The following is a 17,222-nucleotide window of genomic DNA, read 5'->3' on the forward strand; positions in this document are numbered from 1 at the left end:
ATTTATCAGTCAACCTAATTTTTCCACTTTCTGCAGGATTTCCATACCTTAAAACTGTCATTTTTATCTGAAAGTTAGTAGTCATGTAATATTATACAAATTTTAGGGGTGTGTGTGTGTGTGTGTGTGTGTGTGTGTGTGTGTGTGTAGAAATTTAAATTAGCATTTAAATAAAAAGCTTAGCAGTCATCAGGTACTGCAATGTTATATTTTTTGGCTATATATTACAGTATAGCTGAAACTCTTCAAGATGGGGGGGGCACTGTTCATTTTACCAAGAATGTACCTTGTTCTTTACCCTGTCCAGACTTTACCTGCTGTGTAACTTGAGGTCTTTTTTTGTTTTTTGTTTTTTTTTAAAGACAGCGTCTCCCTCTGTCACCCAGGCTGGAGTGAATTGGCAGGGTCTCGGCTCACTGCAACCTCTGCCTTCCAGGGTTCAAGCGATTCTCACACCTCAGCCTCCTGAGTAGCTGGGACTACAGGCACGTACCAACACGCCCAGCTAATTTTTGTGTTTTTAGTAGAGATGGAGTTTGGCCATGTTGGCCAGGCTGGTCTTGAATTCCTGGCCTTAAGTTATCTGCCCACCTAAGTCTCCCAAAGTGCTGGGATTACAGGCGTGAGCCACTGCGCCCAACCCACATAATAATCACATCAAATGCCACTGTCTCTACAAAGCCTCCATTAATATTGTTGGCTGACATTAATTTTTACCTCTTCTATGTTCCTGTGTCATTTGTACTTATTACTATAACCATTATATGATTATTAGAGTTCAAGCTCCTTGAAGGCAGGATTTGTGTTTTGTCATCTTCGTTTAATACTTCGGTCAAAATAAACACATAATAGATAACTGGTGATTTAAATTGGATCTAGAAAACTCAGGTTTGATGAAAAAGTCTTTTATTATTCTTTAACCCGTCTTAGAATTTGGGCTCTAAAATCAGGGATTGCTAAATCTATTGTGTGTTCTGTTTGCTGTTACCAACATTCAAATGTAATTCACACTGACCGTGTGCAGTGTGGCTCATACCTGTAATCCCAGCAGTTTGAGAGGCTGAGGCAAGTGGAATGCTTGAGCCCAGAAGTTTGAGACCAGCCTGGACACCATGGTGAAACCCTGTCTCTACAAAAAATACAAAAATTAGCTGGGCGTGGTGGTATGTGCCTGTAGTTCTAGCTACTTGTGAGGCTGAGGTGGGAGGATCACTTGAGCCTGGGAGGCAGAGATTTCAGTGAGCCAAGATCTTCACCACTGCACTCCAGCCTGGGCAATAGAGTGAGACCCTGTCTCAAAGAAAAAAAAAAGTGGCTTAAACAGGGTAGAAGTTTATTTCTCCTTCACATTGGTCTGGACATGAACTGTCCAGTATGGGTAGAGTAGTTCTGTCATCTTCACCATGGGGCTTTTGTAATTGGATCCAAGGTTGCAGGTTCATTCCTTATTGTCTCCTAGCAAATGGAAAAGGGGAAGAGGCCAGGGGAACACAGGCCCAGTGTGGTTAATGGCAAAATATATCATTTCTGTTTACATTCTACAGGAGAGGCTGAGAAATGTAGTCTTCCTATCAGGACAGCCACATTTCTAGGTAAAATTCAGAAGCCTTTATTACTTAAAGGAAGAATGGGAAAATTGATATTAAAGATAGTGATTTTTGCCATAATTTTCAGATTTATTTCCATTTTTAAAAATAGTAGATCAGTTGTTCAGGAATCAAAACATTTGAGTATTTGACTGAGTCATCAGATCTAGCAGATTTTTAAAATTATACAGTCGATTCCCTTACTGTAGGTGATACAGAAGGTTATATAAGAGCCTTCCTAGTGAGAACTTTACCATCTACTTTAGGAGACAGAACTAATTACAAATGAAAAAAGAGTAGATGCCTATTGTGGCACATTCTGTGTCACATGCTGTTATGAGTGTAGACATTTACAGGAGATAAATATTTCCTATAATCTAATATAGAGGAAAACAGGAAACTGTTAAAGGTTTGGAGTTGGAAACTGAAATGGTGCGAGAGTGTAAACTGGTAATGGAATTCAGATTGGGTGAATTATCTTTCTCCCTCTTCTTCTGATAATGAATTCAGAGTGGATGAGCTCCCTCCCTTTTGCTCTGCCTAATCTCTGAGGTTACCTAATACTTTTCAGCCTCAGTTACCACATCCAGATGTTCTTTCTTAGCCCAATTACTCTTGACTTCTTTGGAATATTTGATACTATTGAACATCTTTTTTTTTTCCCTGTTTTTGAAAACAGCTTTTCTTTGAAACGACCTCATTCTCTACTTTTACTGCCTTTCATTTTCTCCCTAAGATTTAGTACTGTGCTTTTTTGCTCTTTTTGTTCTTGATACTGCAACTCTCATCTTAAAAGAAGGTGTGAGGCTGGGCGTGATGGCTCATGCCTGTAATCCCAGCACTTTGGGAGGCCGAGGCGGGCGGATCACGAGGTCAGGAGATCAAGACCATCCTGGCTAACATGGTGAAACCCCGTCTCTACTAAAAATACAAAAAATTAGCTGGGCGAAGTGGCGGGCGCCTGTAGTCCCAGCTACTCAGGAGGCTGAGGCAGGAGAATGGCATGAACCTGGGAGGTGGAGCTTGCAGTGAGCCGAGATCACGCCACTGCACTCCAGCCTGGGCAACAGAGCGAGACTCCGTCTCAAAAAAAAAAAAAAAGAAGGTTGTGTGTGTGTGTGTGTGTGTGTGTGTGTGTGTGTATGTGTGTATGTATCCAGTTTGAACTTTAGTCCTATATTCTAAATCGCCTGCCAGACATTTTCATCTTGGTGTATCACTATCATTTAAAGCATTCAATGGATCTCCTGCAGTTTTCTGACTCCACGAGGACCCTCATGCTTTATATCCTAGGTGCAGAACTTGCATTTTGGCCTCTACCTTCTCCTTTGCCACTGTATTTTCTATGAGTAAGCCCTGTCAGTTCTTCCTGGTGATTTCATATTTGTTCGTTTCCATTCTTACTGCTGCCACATTTATCAGTCCCTTAATTACGTTAGTTATGTGAAAGCAAATCAGGAAGTGTGTTGAATGCTTGAGTTAAAGATTGTGGAGAATGCTCTAGAACCTTGCTCTTCAAAATGTCATCTGTGGATGGCAGCATGGGCATCACTGGGAACTTGTTAGAATGCAGAACCTTAGGAGCTACTCTGGGGGTCACAGAATTAAGAGTCTTCATTTTCATGATATTTCCAGTTGATGTGCATGCACATTAGGGTTTGAGAGACACTGATCTAGAATTCACTGTGCATTTCTGCTTCCCTTCTCTCTCCCTTCTCCCCCTGACCCTCCTTTTTTTTCTGACTAGAGTGCGGTGGTACCACCATAGCTCAAAGGACCTTTGAACTCCTGGGCTCAAGCTATCCTTCTGCCTCAGCCTCCCAAGTAGTTAGACCTGCAGGCACTCACCACTACGTGTGGTGTGTAGTTTTCAATTTTTATTAGAGACCACTGTGGTTTCACTATGTTACCCAGGCTGGTCTCAAAACTCCTGGCCTCAAGTTATCCTCTCACCTTGGCTTCCCAAGTGCAGGGATTATAGGTGTGAGCCACTGTTTCTGGCCCACTGCATATCTGTTTAACCTTTCTTAGTTTGAGACTTACTTGCTAAAAATAATTAAACCCTCCAGCTATTGCTCTGTAACTATTTACCTTAATGTGTAAGCTTCAAAACAGATAGATAACGTTGTAAATTGTTGTGTTAGAAATGATGAGACAGAGTGGAAAGTAACTGGGGGAGGCAGCTCTATCTAGAGTTGTCACAGATGTCCCAGATGTATGTTTGCCAGTTTATAGATGTAATTTCTCAAATTTAAAAGCAGGATATTTGAGGATAAGTTGCATGTGCATAATCTTCCTCCTGTGTAATTAAGGAATTTGGGGGGGCATTATTTTTAATTTTACTATATTGTACTTACTAGCTTTAATGTTGTTGTGTAGAGCAGTGTCACCTTTAGATAAACAGCATGTACTTAAAACAGAAGGCTATGTTTAAAAAAAGCTTTATTTTTAATTTTTAATTTTTTGATACAGAGTCTCTCTCTGTCACCCAGGCTGGAGTACAGTGGCGGGATCTCGACTCACTGCAATCTCTGCCTCTGAGGTTCAAGTGATTCTCTTGCCTCAGCCTCCTGAGGAGCTGGTATTACAGGCACCTGCCACCATGCCTGGCTAATTTTTGTATTTTTAGTAGAGACCGGATTTCACCAGGTTGGCCAGGCTGTTCTCAAACTCCTGACCTCAAGTGATCCGCCTGCCTTGGCCTCCCAAAGTGCTGGGATTACAGGCATGAGCCACTGTGTCCAGCTACTTGATTTTTATTGATATCTCTTACTATATACATACATTTTTCATAATCAACTAATTTATAGAAGTCTGTTAGTAATATGATTCTGAATATTTGGCATATTTTCCAGATATTGCTTTTATTTTTCCATTTTTACTTTATTAATTTTACAAGCAATATGTGAAAAAATCTGAAGCAATTTTTAAAATTATTATGAAAGAATATATTCAAAGGTATGAAGACTTGTACAGCTAAGACTTGTATTCTTGTATTCATATGTGAGTTTTTTGGCAGTGTTTTTCAGAACTTTTTGACCATGAACTGAAGAACTAACATTTTGTAGCACACCTCAGTTCATATATGCGTATTATATGTTACTGAAACAAAAGTTTATATTCTTGCCATACAGCTTAGCAATTGAGTGCTACTATTGCTCTCCAAGCCCACAGTGAACTTTTCCCTGATCACATCCTCTTTCCTTACCACCAGTTACCTGCCTCAGTTTCACGAAATTTGTAGATACATTTAATTAATATGCAGTATGCTATTATTTTACATATTTTTCAATTTATGTAAATGGTTTCACACTGTATATATTCATCTGTGACCTTTTTTAATGTCAGTGTTATATTTGAGATTTAGCCATGTTGATGCAACGCTTTTTGAAGCAGTCCTTGTTTCCCCTTCTTGCCAACAATTAGTAGTTAAAAATTTTTTTTTCCAGAATGTTGGGTGCAAAATGGAAGTAACTGTAGAGTTAAAGAGCACTTTCACTAATTACCAGTGAGACTGTGCATATTTTCATGCTTATTGGCCATAAATTTCTTCTGTGAATTATTCATTCATATCTTTTTGCTTATTTCGCATTGGGCTGGTTGTCTTTTTCTTATTAATTTCTACATTTAATTTTTGAAATGTCTTTGATTTTTTATTTGTTGTTAATCTTGTGCATATCTTATGCATTTAATAAAGAAATTATTTTTACAGTAGGGTATTATTACTATTCCTGATTCAAATATGCTAAGTGAAGAAGCTGTTTATATAAATTAGTTTTAAAATCTTAGAGTGGAGGGGAAGTTTCTAGGAAAGCAAAATGAGTAAAATCAATAAGGTTCTTAAAGATTGCCAAGACACATGTCTTCTTAGCAGACTGCCGCCAGTACCATTTGAAAATTTGAGCATGTGACTTCTGTAAGCTTCCATTATAATTATATAAAACCGAGAATGCTTCTAATATGCTGTTATGTTTATTTTTGTTTTTAACATTTGCTTTTTTTTGTGGTTTCTTCTTCTAAATTAGGTCCTCGATGGGCTTCCTGGAATATTGGTGTGTTTATTTGCATCAGATGTGCTGGAATTCATAGAAATCTTGGGGTTCATATATCCAGGGTCAAATCAGTCAACCTAGACCAATGGACAGCAGAACAGATACAGGTAAACATGACGTTACCAAGAAATTATTTAAAATATTTAAAATGATTTAAAAATATTTAACCCTTCTTGCATCTAAGGATTAACATTGAAAAGTAGTTTTGTATGTTGAAATGGCATATGCCACGTATAAAATTGGAATATTTGAATTTTCAGTTCACAGATGTTTATTTCATTTTGTGTCTATAGTAAAGTCAGTTTTTAATCTATACTTTCTAAAATGTTGATTTTAAAGTGTTTTTAAAGTATCATTTCTCTTGTTGATAAAATTTGCCAGTATAATTCCATAGTTTGTTTTATTTTTTTTTCAGTGGAGGGAGCCTGGGTAAAGATAAAATAAAAAACCACCTGTAGCCTAAAAATGGACTTGAGTAATTTCCTTTCTGTTCTGAGGTGTTCTTAGTTTTCAGACAAGGCCCAGAAGTTGTAAGACAACCCAGTGAACAAATGTTCTTATGACCAACCTAAACTTACTTATGAGTGGTTTAACTCTGCTAGAGGTAGATTTGTAGTTTTAAAAGTTTGCCATTTTCCCAATGTGACAGTCTTAAATTCTCAAAATCTTACTTTTTATCTTTAAGGTTGGCCACTATTGTAAAAATGAGTACTTCTACTGGTCTTATTATGTAATTCACAGTGAAGTTACACCACTTATTTATGCCCTTTTGAAATTACTTTTAAGTCACTATGAAGTGCTAAATACATAAATATATGTGGTTGAGACTCAGTGATACATCTCAGAATCTTAACCCAATAGTTTACATGAATGGGGTGAAGTAAAGGTAGAAAAACAGAATGGAGATCTTCAGGCTATAAAGTCAAGCATAATTTATTTGGTTCCATCTTAAATTAGTTTTTGAGCTTTTCGCTGGCTAGAGCATAAAGGGAAATGCAATCTTTTATGTACTTTCAAGATCCTTGAGGAGAAAACATACTAGTTATATCAAAGAAGCAGAGCTTTTTAAACACTTCCTGTAAGGCAGTGTTCTTAGTATCTCTGTAGAATATGGTAACAGATGTCATGATGTTGTAAGTCTTTTTTTGTTTGTTTGAGACAGGGTCTTGCTATGTTGCCCAGGCTGGTCTCAAACTCTTGGACTCAAGCGATTCTCCCATGTCAGCCTTCCAAGTAGCTGTGACTATAGGCATGCACCACCATGCCCAGCTGATGTTGTAACTCTTTTTCAAGAAACGTGTGAGGTGTAGCTTGACAGTATAACTTGGTGTTTGTAATGGGTTATGGAGGTACAAAGCATTCACGACCGAAGTATCCTGCTTTTTTAATGGCTTATTTCAAACTAAGGATAAAACACGAGATCCTTCAACAGTTCAGTTATTCAGAAATATTTTTCTCAATTAGGTTGTTGAGAGGAAATGAATAGCAAATTATTTGAGATGGGCAGCTGTATAGCTTAGAGTAGAATTTTGTAATCAGAGGGCTGCAGTTCACTGGTTTTCTTTGGCATAGGTTACAAGTACATGGCAATATATTGGATTTTTTTTTTTTTACAATGTAAGGATTTTAAAAACAGTTATTAAATAATAATATTTGAAATTGTATTTGAACATTATTTGATTGCATTTGCCAACTTCTTGATAGGAATTGCTCTGTCTGGCCCCCCTCCCCTGCTCTTCCCATCTTTTTTTTTTTGAGACGGAGTCTCACTCATGCTATTGCTCAGGCTGGAGTGCAGTGGTGTGATGTCTGCTCACTGCAGCGTTTGTCTCCTGGGTTCAAGCGATTCTCCTGCCTCAGCCTCCCAAGTAGCTGGGATTACAGGTGCGTGCCACCATGTGTTGCTAATTTTTGTATTTTTATTAGAGGTGGGGTTTTGCCATGTTGGCCAGGCTGGTCTCGAACTCCTGACCTCAAGTGATCTGCCCACCTTGGCCCCCCAAAGTGCTGGGACTACAGGCATGAGCCACTGGACCCGGTCTCCTGTGTTTCTTTTTAAAAAATTGAGGTAGGAAATCCTGGTCGGGGTAGCCATGGCAGCTTGTGTCTGCCACCTGCCCTTGGCCATCACACTGATGCACCGGGTCCCGTGCTGGCCACAGCCTGCTGCTCAGCATCGCCTGTGCTCTGTGGGGACTCTGATGAGGCTGGGGCTTTGCAGCTGGCTCCACAGCGGGCTTTGGTGCTTGCGCACGTGCTGGGTAGAAGTTACACAGTCGTGCTGTCAGTATAGTGACTTGCCCCCTTTGATGTTAGAGGGAATCGAAGACTGTCTTCTTTATATCTTGAAACCCTGTGACAGGATTGACCCAGAGAAGCTCTCAGTGAATTCTTACTTTATGAAAGACCTGTGCTTGGACAGTTTGGACCAAGTAGAGAGTAAGCATGGTCATGGAAGATAAATTTGGGTTTGAAATTCCTGGTATAGATATGGAAAAGTTAATATGTCCACAAGAAATTGTAGATTATATTGCAGATAAGAGAGATGTATATGAATAAAATATCAGACCCTTTTGCTTCACTGGGAGAAGACTCAGATGATACTGGTGAGTGTCTGGAAGTGAGAATGCATTTTGGCATTATTGCTGACTTTGGCAGAGTAATTCTGTTAGACCTGGGTTTAAATTGTGTAATTGTTTTACTCTGAAAATAAACGTATAAAACCAAAAAAAGAAAAAACTTGACTTATAATTACAGAGAGAACAGTTCACAGATCTCATTTAGTTTTATGAGTCTTGGCAAATGTCTGTATGATGTCACCAATACCCCAGTGAAGATAGAGCATTTCTGTCACACTAGAAAGTTCCTTCATGCCAATTTCCAGTCAAGTCCCCCAGGGGCATACACTACACTGATTTCTATCCCATTGGGTTAGTTTTGCTATACATTAAAATGTCTGTCTTTTTGGAGGCTGTTCCTATTAACTTTGACGTTTAATTCAGATGGGCAAAAGTGATGATCACAATGTGATATAATGTTCCATATTCATATGATATTTTATAATAATTTCTTTGATATAAAAAGTGCTTGAGGCCAGGAGCGGTGGCTCACTCCTGTAATCCCAGAACTTTGGGTGGCCAAAGTGGGCAGATCCGAGAGTTTGAGACCAGCCTGGCCAACATTACGAAGCCCCGTCTCTACTAAAAATACGAAAATTAGCAGGGTGTGGTAACACACACCCGTAGTCCCAGCTACTCTGGAAAGTGAGGTGGGAGAATCACTTGAGCCTGGCAGGTGGAGCTTGCAGTAAGCCAAGATCCTGCCACTGCACTCCGCCATGAGTTATAGAGTGAGACTCAGCCTAAAAAAGAAGTACTTGGGAGGTATTTATTTATGGAACTAAGAGAAATACTTTTACTGTACATAGTTACATAGTTATACCCTTTGTCTTTCCCTGCAACATTTCATAATTGTGTTTCTAATTTTCAAAGATGATACTGTTTTGGCTAGCTCTATTTTTTTAAAAATACCTTTTATTAGTAAATATGGAAACATGATTTAATCTTTGAGCCCAGTCAAGCTGTTAAATAAAAATGTTCTTTGTGTGTGTGTGTGTGTATAATTCTGTAAAATGTAAATACTAAGTTTTTCCTCAAGGTTACTTATAAACTGATATTATATGTACCATATTTTTATCTGTTATTTATGTATATGTTATGTGTTTCAGTTTTTAGAGCACAACATGTACAGCTGTTAGAATTGCTGTATGCTTATTTTTAAAAGAAAATAGTTGTTACCCAAAACTTACTTTGATTTTTAATAACATAGAAATAAAGTTACTCACTGTAAAAAAGTCTTAAAAGTTCTTTTAATGTGGTTCATGGTCAGATTAATTGTGTTTGGTCTTGGGTTTATTGTCACGTACTTCTCAAATTTTTGGAAAGGACCAAGTTTTTTATACTTTTATAAATACTATAGCTTCCTTCCCCTCCCCCCACCCAAGATATTATACATTTGGGTGGAGTAAAGAATGGAATACCAGAATTAACTGTTGTTTTATAGCAGTATCAAACAAATCCCTGTATATGCCATATGGATACAGGAAACAAGGATTTATGAAATTGTTTCAGTATGGAAATTTGGTCTATAGTGATAGTTATTAATGTTTAGCATTTGTAAATATTAAGATTAGTAGATGTCTTTATTCTACTTGCAGCTTGACAAACTAAAATTGAAATAATGAGCTGTTTGGAAAGAAAGTTAATGTCATTGTTCCAGTTACTCTTAAAAACTTGTATATTCTATGGTTCTTACTCCTTTCTCCCTTTTACTTCTGTGTTCTTAATTCTTTTCTTGCTTCTGCTGCTTTCTAGTTTCATTTCTCCGACAAGTCCAAGGCTTTGCCTTATTTCTGATGTTCTCATCAGTGTCACATCTCCATTTGTTTTACACAGTGCATTCAGAGTAATTTTCCTAGAACATTGCTTTGGTTATTTTACTTCCATCCTAAGAAATTTGCATTGATTCTTCTGTGAGACTCATAAAACTTTTTATTTTCATTAAACTGGTCTTCATGTTCCTCTGCCTTCTGGCTTCATCATTTGTCTTTGACCTTACTTCAGATGCTTTACAACAAATAGCTTTGGCTGTACCAGACAGTTCTTTCTGCTGAAACAATCTGATAGTGTGTTCTTTTGTTTTGTTTTGGTTGTGCTATTGTCCTTGTTGGAAATGTATTTTTTGTTTGTTGTTTTTGTGATGGAATTTTGCTCTGTCACCTAGGCTGGAGTGCAGTGGCACAATCTCATCTCACTGCAACCTTCACCTCCTGGGTTCAAGTGATTCTCCTGCCTCAGCCTCCCAAGTAGCTGGGACTACAGGCATGAGCCACCATGCCTGGCTAAATTTTTTTTTGTATTTTTAGTAGAGACAGGGTTTCGTCATGTTGGCCCGGCTGGTCTCAGCGTCCTGACCTCAGGTGATCCACCTGCCTTGGCCTCCCAAAGTGCTGGAATTACTGGCATGAACCACCGTGCTTGGCCGGAAATGTATTTTGCATATTCCTTGTGGCAAACCAGATCCTTCCTATTCTTTAAAGCCCAGCTTAAATCTCTACTTTAATAAAAGATTCTTCTGTATGTAGTATGTGCTCAATTATCTATGGCAAGTACCATATATTGTTACCTTTGCTTATATCTAACTAAATTGTAAGTTTCCAGCAGTTAGAACATTTATCATATGTGTCTTTGTAGTGCTGTGGTGGCTTCCACTATGCTAGGAACACAGTATGCACTTGATTTTTTAATGGCATGCTGAATCAGTCTTTGGTTTGATTAAATTCTGTGAGATAACGCTTATTATCCTTAGCGATGAATGGGGAATGGAGAAAAAAGAATCATGCACTCCCCTTCCCCATTTAGCCTGTATTTTTATATAGTCTCTTTTTGTTTCTTGATCTCTGTCCTTTTCACCTCATGTTCCTGTTTCGCTTTAAAATTCCAAAAATACAGCAGCCTTAGGGAGGGTAACTTGAGCTAGCATATGAAAATTCCAACGGTAATATATGCAGGTACTAGAAAGGCAGTATTTTTCAATAATTAAAACTGTCCAGAAGTGAAATCGATTGCCTTGGAAGATAGGTTGGTTTACTCTTAACTGGAATGGTTTGTAAAGAGGCGGGACAACCACCTGGAATCGTGTGGCTGGGATTTAAGCATTCACTAGGTAGATGAGGAGTAGTTTAGATGACTCTGAAGTTTCTTCCATTCTTGAGAATGTTTTAGTTGTATAGTCAGTCTTCTTTAGTTACCATAGCAGTTCCAAAAACATTTTCATTTCTTGTCTTTGCATAAAAATTATATCATGGTTAGTGATGGTGATTCAGCTTTTACCAAAAGTGAAATTCAACCTCAGAGGATAAAAAATGTTGGCACTCTCACATAAGTCAAAAGAGTGTGAAAAGATTCTCAGGTTAAATCTGTAAGACAGATTTTTTTTTCTGAATCTGGAAGGAATGTTTTTGAACACACTTGCTGTTTATATTTTCTATTAAGAAAAAAAAAAAAAAACCAGTGGATACAGGTTTCTATTGTAACCTAGTTATTCCTAGAAAAACCTATGAGCTAACTGGGTAGTCTTTAACTTAACTTAGCAATACCTATGTCATAGTATTGACTTGCTTGTCTTAATTTAAACTTTTGATCTTTCCTAGAAAAAATTTCTTATGGAAGGCAAAATCAGGGGTTTTCATCAGTCTTCATAAGTAAGCTTTGCTGTATTCTGTGGCCTCAACTTGAATTCTTAGTCAGGCCAAATACAGAGTGAACAGGCAAAAGAGTATTGATAGGTAACATAAATATTTTACGGTAGCTTAAAAAACAACTAAAACTACAGGCACTACTTATGTTAGTGGTCATGTTGTCCCAATATTCAGTGTTAAATTGAGATGTTTAGGATTATAAGAGGAGATGAAAGTGGCTAAGTACATTAAAGAAGTTTTCTGCTCTTTCACTCTGACATAGTTATTTCAAGTAAAGTTGGAATAAATTTTGTTATTTAGAAGGACATTAATTTTTCAAATAAAATGACTTACAGTTGATTAAAGTACAATATTTGTGTGGTACCTCTGCTATCTTTAAAAAATAAAAATCTGGAACTGGAGAGAACCTAGAATATTGATAGGCAGTCAAAATTTAAATTTTACATGAGATGTGCAAGTTTGTTTTACTTAGAGCGGATTCCAAGAATGTATTGCTTTGATCCTTCCTCCTGGGTGCTGTCTTAGATATTGGTGAGTAATTAGATTATCAGTTTATTGCAAAAAAGTTTTCATGACACTATTTTTTAAGTCTGTGGATGAAGGTGAGATAAGCATAGTATTTTCCATGTGAGTTCTGCAGAAGAGAAACATAAATAAAATATATAATTAAAATCAATTTTACCTGTTTTAATTTTTTTAAATGAGGCTAATAGAGATTTAAAATGATATAACTGGCTCACTTTATCTTTTGTTGCACAGCAGTTGTATAGATGTATCAATTTTTATGCATACACTAGTACCCACTGCAGATTTCCTTTGCTCGGTGTTTGATAAATCTTCTGTGCTTATGTGTTTAACTATATATTTAAATATAAAGTGAGTTTCTTTTAGACCAAAAATACCTACATATGGTATGCTTCTTCAGTATGTAGTTTTATATCTTTTTTTGTTTCAGTGAAGTTTTTTGAGTTACAGTTTATTTTTGAACTACAGTTTATTTTTAATATTCTCTTGCTTTAGTTTTCTTCTTCAGTGACTCCTCTTACCTGTATGTTGGATCTTTATTACCTAATGGCAATATTTATCATTTGCTTTTGGATCCTTTTTGTTACTTTTTTAAATTACATTTTTTTCCGTCTGCCTTTCCATTTTTCTTAGACTATTATTTGTTGTCTACGGTTCATTTTGTTTCATGTTTATTTCTGAAATGTTTTTTCTTTTATTTCCAATTTTTTCTTGATTCTGTCATTTTAATTCTGAATATTTCTTATTTTAAAATTTCAAATTTGGTTGTTCTGTTTTTCCATGTCTTTAATTTTATATGTTTTTTCATCACATACATGTCTTTTAGCTAGTTCTGAAGTAGTAGGTTACAGTTTTAATCTGTTTTTTGGGAAAAGTTTTCTAGATGTGTCTTCATTGTAGAGCTATTATTCTTACTCCTTTTAATATTAACTTTATATGAGATTTTACCTTGATTCTTTCTGCTGATCATTTTTATGCAATATTAATTTTCCTTTACTTTTAGGAGGAAGTCCTATTCAAGATAGCTTTTTTAACTTCACATACCTCCCTCTTCCGTTGTTTTCATGTAATGTTTAAAAACAAGGCCATGGCTGGAGGCGGTGGCTCATGCCTATAATCCCAGCAATTTGGGAGGCCAAGGTGGGTGGATCACCTGAGGTCAGGAGTTCGAACCAGCCTGGCCAATATGGCAAAATGCCGTCTCTACTGAAAATAGAAAAATTAGCTGGGCATAGGGCATGTGCCTGTAGTCCCAGCTACTTGGGAGACTCCATCTCAAAAAAAAAAAAACAAAAAAAAAACCCAAGGCCATTTGTTGAGATGTTCTTGTTCTGTTCCCTTTTTGCACTTTTATCTGGACCATCTCCTTTTGTATTATCTCTGTTATACCTGTCCTGCTCAATTTTGAGTCAATTCCCAGGTTTTTTCTTTTTCTCAGTTTGGGGTCCTATCCTGGAAGAGAAACTTCATGGTCAGATATGAGAGTTTGTAGGGGCTAGACTGTCTCTCCCCATTCCAAGCTTATTGTGGCCCATTCACACTTAATTGTTATTGGACTGTGTATTAGTGTGTTTTCACACTGCTAATAAAGACATACCTGAGACTGGGTAATTTCTAAAGAAAAAGAGGTTTAATGGACTCACAGTTCCATGTGGCTGGGGAGGCCTCAAATCATGGCAGAAGGTGAAAGGCACATCTTACATTGCAGCAGACAAGAATGGGAGCTAAGTGAAAGGGGTTTCCCCTTATAAAACCATTGACTCTCATGAGACTTACTCACTACCAAGAGAACAGTAAGGGGAAAACCGCCCCCATGATTCAATTATTTCCCACTGGGTCTCTCCCACAACACATGGGAATTATGGGAGCTACAATTCAAGATGAAATTTGCGTGGGGACACAGCCAAACCATACCATTCCACCCTTGGCCCCTCCCAAATCTCATGCCCTTACCTTGCAAAACCAATCATGCCTTCCCAGCAGGCCCCCAAAGTCTTAACTCATTTCAGCATTAACTCAAAAGTCCATAGTCCAAAGTCTCATCCAAGACAAGGCAAGTCCCTTCCACCTATGAGCCTGTAAAATCAAAAGCAAGGTAGTTACTTCCTAGATACAGTGGGAATACAGGCATTGGGTAAATACAGCTGTTCCAAATGGAGAAATTGGCCAAAATGAAGGAGCCACAGGCCCCATGCAAGTCGGAAATCCAGCAGGTCAGTCAAATCTTAAAGCTCGAAAATTATCTCCTTTGACTCTGTGTCTCACATGCAGGCCACACTGATGCAAGAGGTGGGTTCCTATGGCCTTGGGCAGCTCCACCCCTATGGCTTTGCCCCTGTGTCTTTGCAGGGTATAGCCTCCCTCCTGGCTGATTTCATGGGCTGGTATTGAGTGCCTGTGGCTTTTCCAGGTACATGGTGCAAGCTGTTGCTGGATCTACCATTCTGAGGTCTGGAGGATGGTGACCCTCTTCTCGTAGATAACTAGGCAGTGCCCCAGTGGGGACTCTGTGTGGGGGCTTGCATGACACATTTCCTTTCCATGCTGCCCTAGCAGAGGTTCTCCATGAGGGCCCCACCCCTGCAACAAACTTCTGTTTGGACATCCAGGTATTTCCATATATCCTCTGAAATCTAGGCGGAGGTTCCCAAAAGTCAATTCTTGACTTCTGTGCACCTGCAGGCTCAACACCACAGGGAAGCTGCCAACCCTTGGGGCTTACACCCTCTGGAGCCATGGTCTGAGCTATACATTGGCCCCTTTTAGCCGCAGCTGGAGCAGCTGGGATGCAGGGTACCAAGTCCCTAGGCTGCACACAGCAGGGGGCCCTGGCCCTGGCCCACAAAAGCATTTCTTCCTTCTAGGCCCCTAAGCCTGTGATAGGAGGGGCTGCCAGGAAGGTCTCTGACATGCCCTGAGGACATTTTCCCCATTGTCTTGTTAATTAACATTTGACTCCTCATTACTTACGCAGATTTCTGCAACCGGGTTGAATTTCTCCTCAGAAAATGAGTTTTTCTTTCCTATCGCATCATCAGACTGCAAATTTTCCAAACTTTTAGGCTCCGTTTCCCCTTTAAAATTGAATGGTTTTAACAGCACCCAAGTCACCTCTTGAATGCTTTGCTGCTTAGGCATTTCTTCTGCCAGATACCCTAAGTCATCTCCTTCAAGTTCAAAGATTTACAAATCTCTAGGGCAGGGGCAAAATGCAGCCAGTCTCTTTCCTAAAACATAGCAAGAGTCACCTTTACTCCGGTTCCCAACAAGTTCCTCATCTCCATCTGAGACCACATCAGCCTTGGTTTCATCATCCATATCATTATCAGCATTTTGGTCAAAGCTAGTCAGCAAGTCTCTAGGAAGCTCCAAATGTTCCCACATTTTCCTGTCTTCTTCTGAGCCCTCCAAACTGTTCCAGCCTCTGCCTGTTCCCCAGTTCCAAAGTCACTTCCACATTTTTGGTATCTTTACAGCAGTGCCCCACTCCCGGTACCAGTTTACTGTATTAGTCTGTTTTCATGCTGCTGATAAAGACATACCCAAGACTGGAGTAATTTATAAAGAAAAAGAGGTTTTAATGGACTCACAGTTTCACATGCCTGGGGAGGCCTCACAATCATGGCAGAAGGTGAAAGGCACGTCTCACATGGCGGCAGACAATAGAGAATGAGAGCCAAGTGAAAGAGGTTTCCTCTTATAAAACCATCAGGTCTTGTGAGACATATTTATGACCACGAGAACAGTAAGGGGAAAACCGCCCCCATGATTCAGTTATCTCCAACTGGGTCTCTCCCACAACGCCTGAGAATTATGGGAGCTACAATTCAAGATGAGATTTGGGTGGTGACAGAACCAAACCATATCAGACTGGGGAAAAATCCTTTTCAACTTCCTGTGCTTTTCTCAGATTGGTTCATTGTGATTTCCAGTTTATATATCTCTTGAATGTTTTGGTATTTTTTTCTCAGATCCATTGGACTCCCCATTAGTTGCAGGCCATCAGGCAGGTCTAGTGGTCATTGTAGTGGTTTGTTTCTGGCAGGTCTAGTGGTCATTGTAGTGGTTTGTTTCTACCTGATGGCATTTTGAAGTTTGTGGGGATAATCAGTTAGTTAGTTTTGTTGTAACTATCATCTATTGGTTTTTAGTTTTTCTACCTATGCCTTTCTGTTTTCTCTTTTCTGGGGAGATTCTGGGAACTTAGAAAATTATTTCTGCTGTTAAAGAATTTTTATGATAAGCAACATTTCATAGAATAAAATTTTAGTTAAAGGTAATTTGGAGAACTCTGTGTTAGAATATTATTTAATCTCTTAGGGGTTTGGCCCTTGGATAAATTTTCATAGTGTCTTGTAGAACCAGGCACGTAATAAGCTTTCAGTAAACAATTCTTGGTATACATTTATTCAAGAAAACCATAGGCCAAAAAGCCTTTTTTCTTATTTTGTGGAAGGATTTCTCATTATAATTTGATCAAGCTAACAACATTTCTCAAATTAGGGCCTCAGGTATATGCTTAACTTTTTAAGTTAATTGAGATTCAGTTGATGCTGAACCCTTGCTAGAATCATTAAATGCATCTTCAAAGAAGAGCAGAGAATGGGAGCAGCCTATAGCATTGGGTTATTGTATTGCCTGCATGTGAAGATTGAGGTAAAGAAAGAAAGTGGTACTGTCTATAACAAAATTTAATCTGTGAAGTTTAATAAGAGATTTGCATTTTAAGCAATCCATTTGGAAAAAAGTATATAAATTTTTAATTTGAATGTGCAAGATTATGCCCTATATTTTCTTTTT

The 17,222-nt window shown here is 38.3% G+C and overlaps 1 protein-coding gene and 1 pseudogene across 10 annotated transcripts in view; both read left to right on the top strand.

Moving 5' to 3' along the window:
• SMAP1 (small ArfGAP 1) overlaps positions 1-17,222 on the top strand; it is a 194,133-nt gene that overhangs the window by 58,884 nt on the left and 118,027 nt on the right. For 9 of the 10 annotated variants that reach the window (NM_001044305.3, NM_001281439.2, NM_021940.5 and 6 more), the window contains one exon: positions 5,612-5,745. In NM_001044305.3, the coding sequence (NP_001037770.1) occupies positions 5,612-5,745 (134 nt within the window). Of the gene's footprint in view, positions 1-5,611; positions 5,746-17,222 lie in introns of those variants that run through there. The other variant, XM_047419229.1, reaches the window with a different exon arrangement.
• On the top strand, positions 7,737-8,196 carry NDUFAB1P1 (NADH:ubiquinone oxidoreductase subunit AB1 pseudogene 1; annotated as a pseudogene).

This window comes from Homo sapiens, chromosome 6, assembly GCF_000001405.40.
Source record: "Homo sapiens chromosome 6, GRCh38.p14 Primary Assembly".
In the NCBI taxonomy this organism is placed as follows: domain Eukaryota; kingdom Metazoa; phylum Chordata; class Mammalia; order Primates; family Hominidae; genus Homo; species Homo sapiens.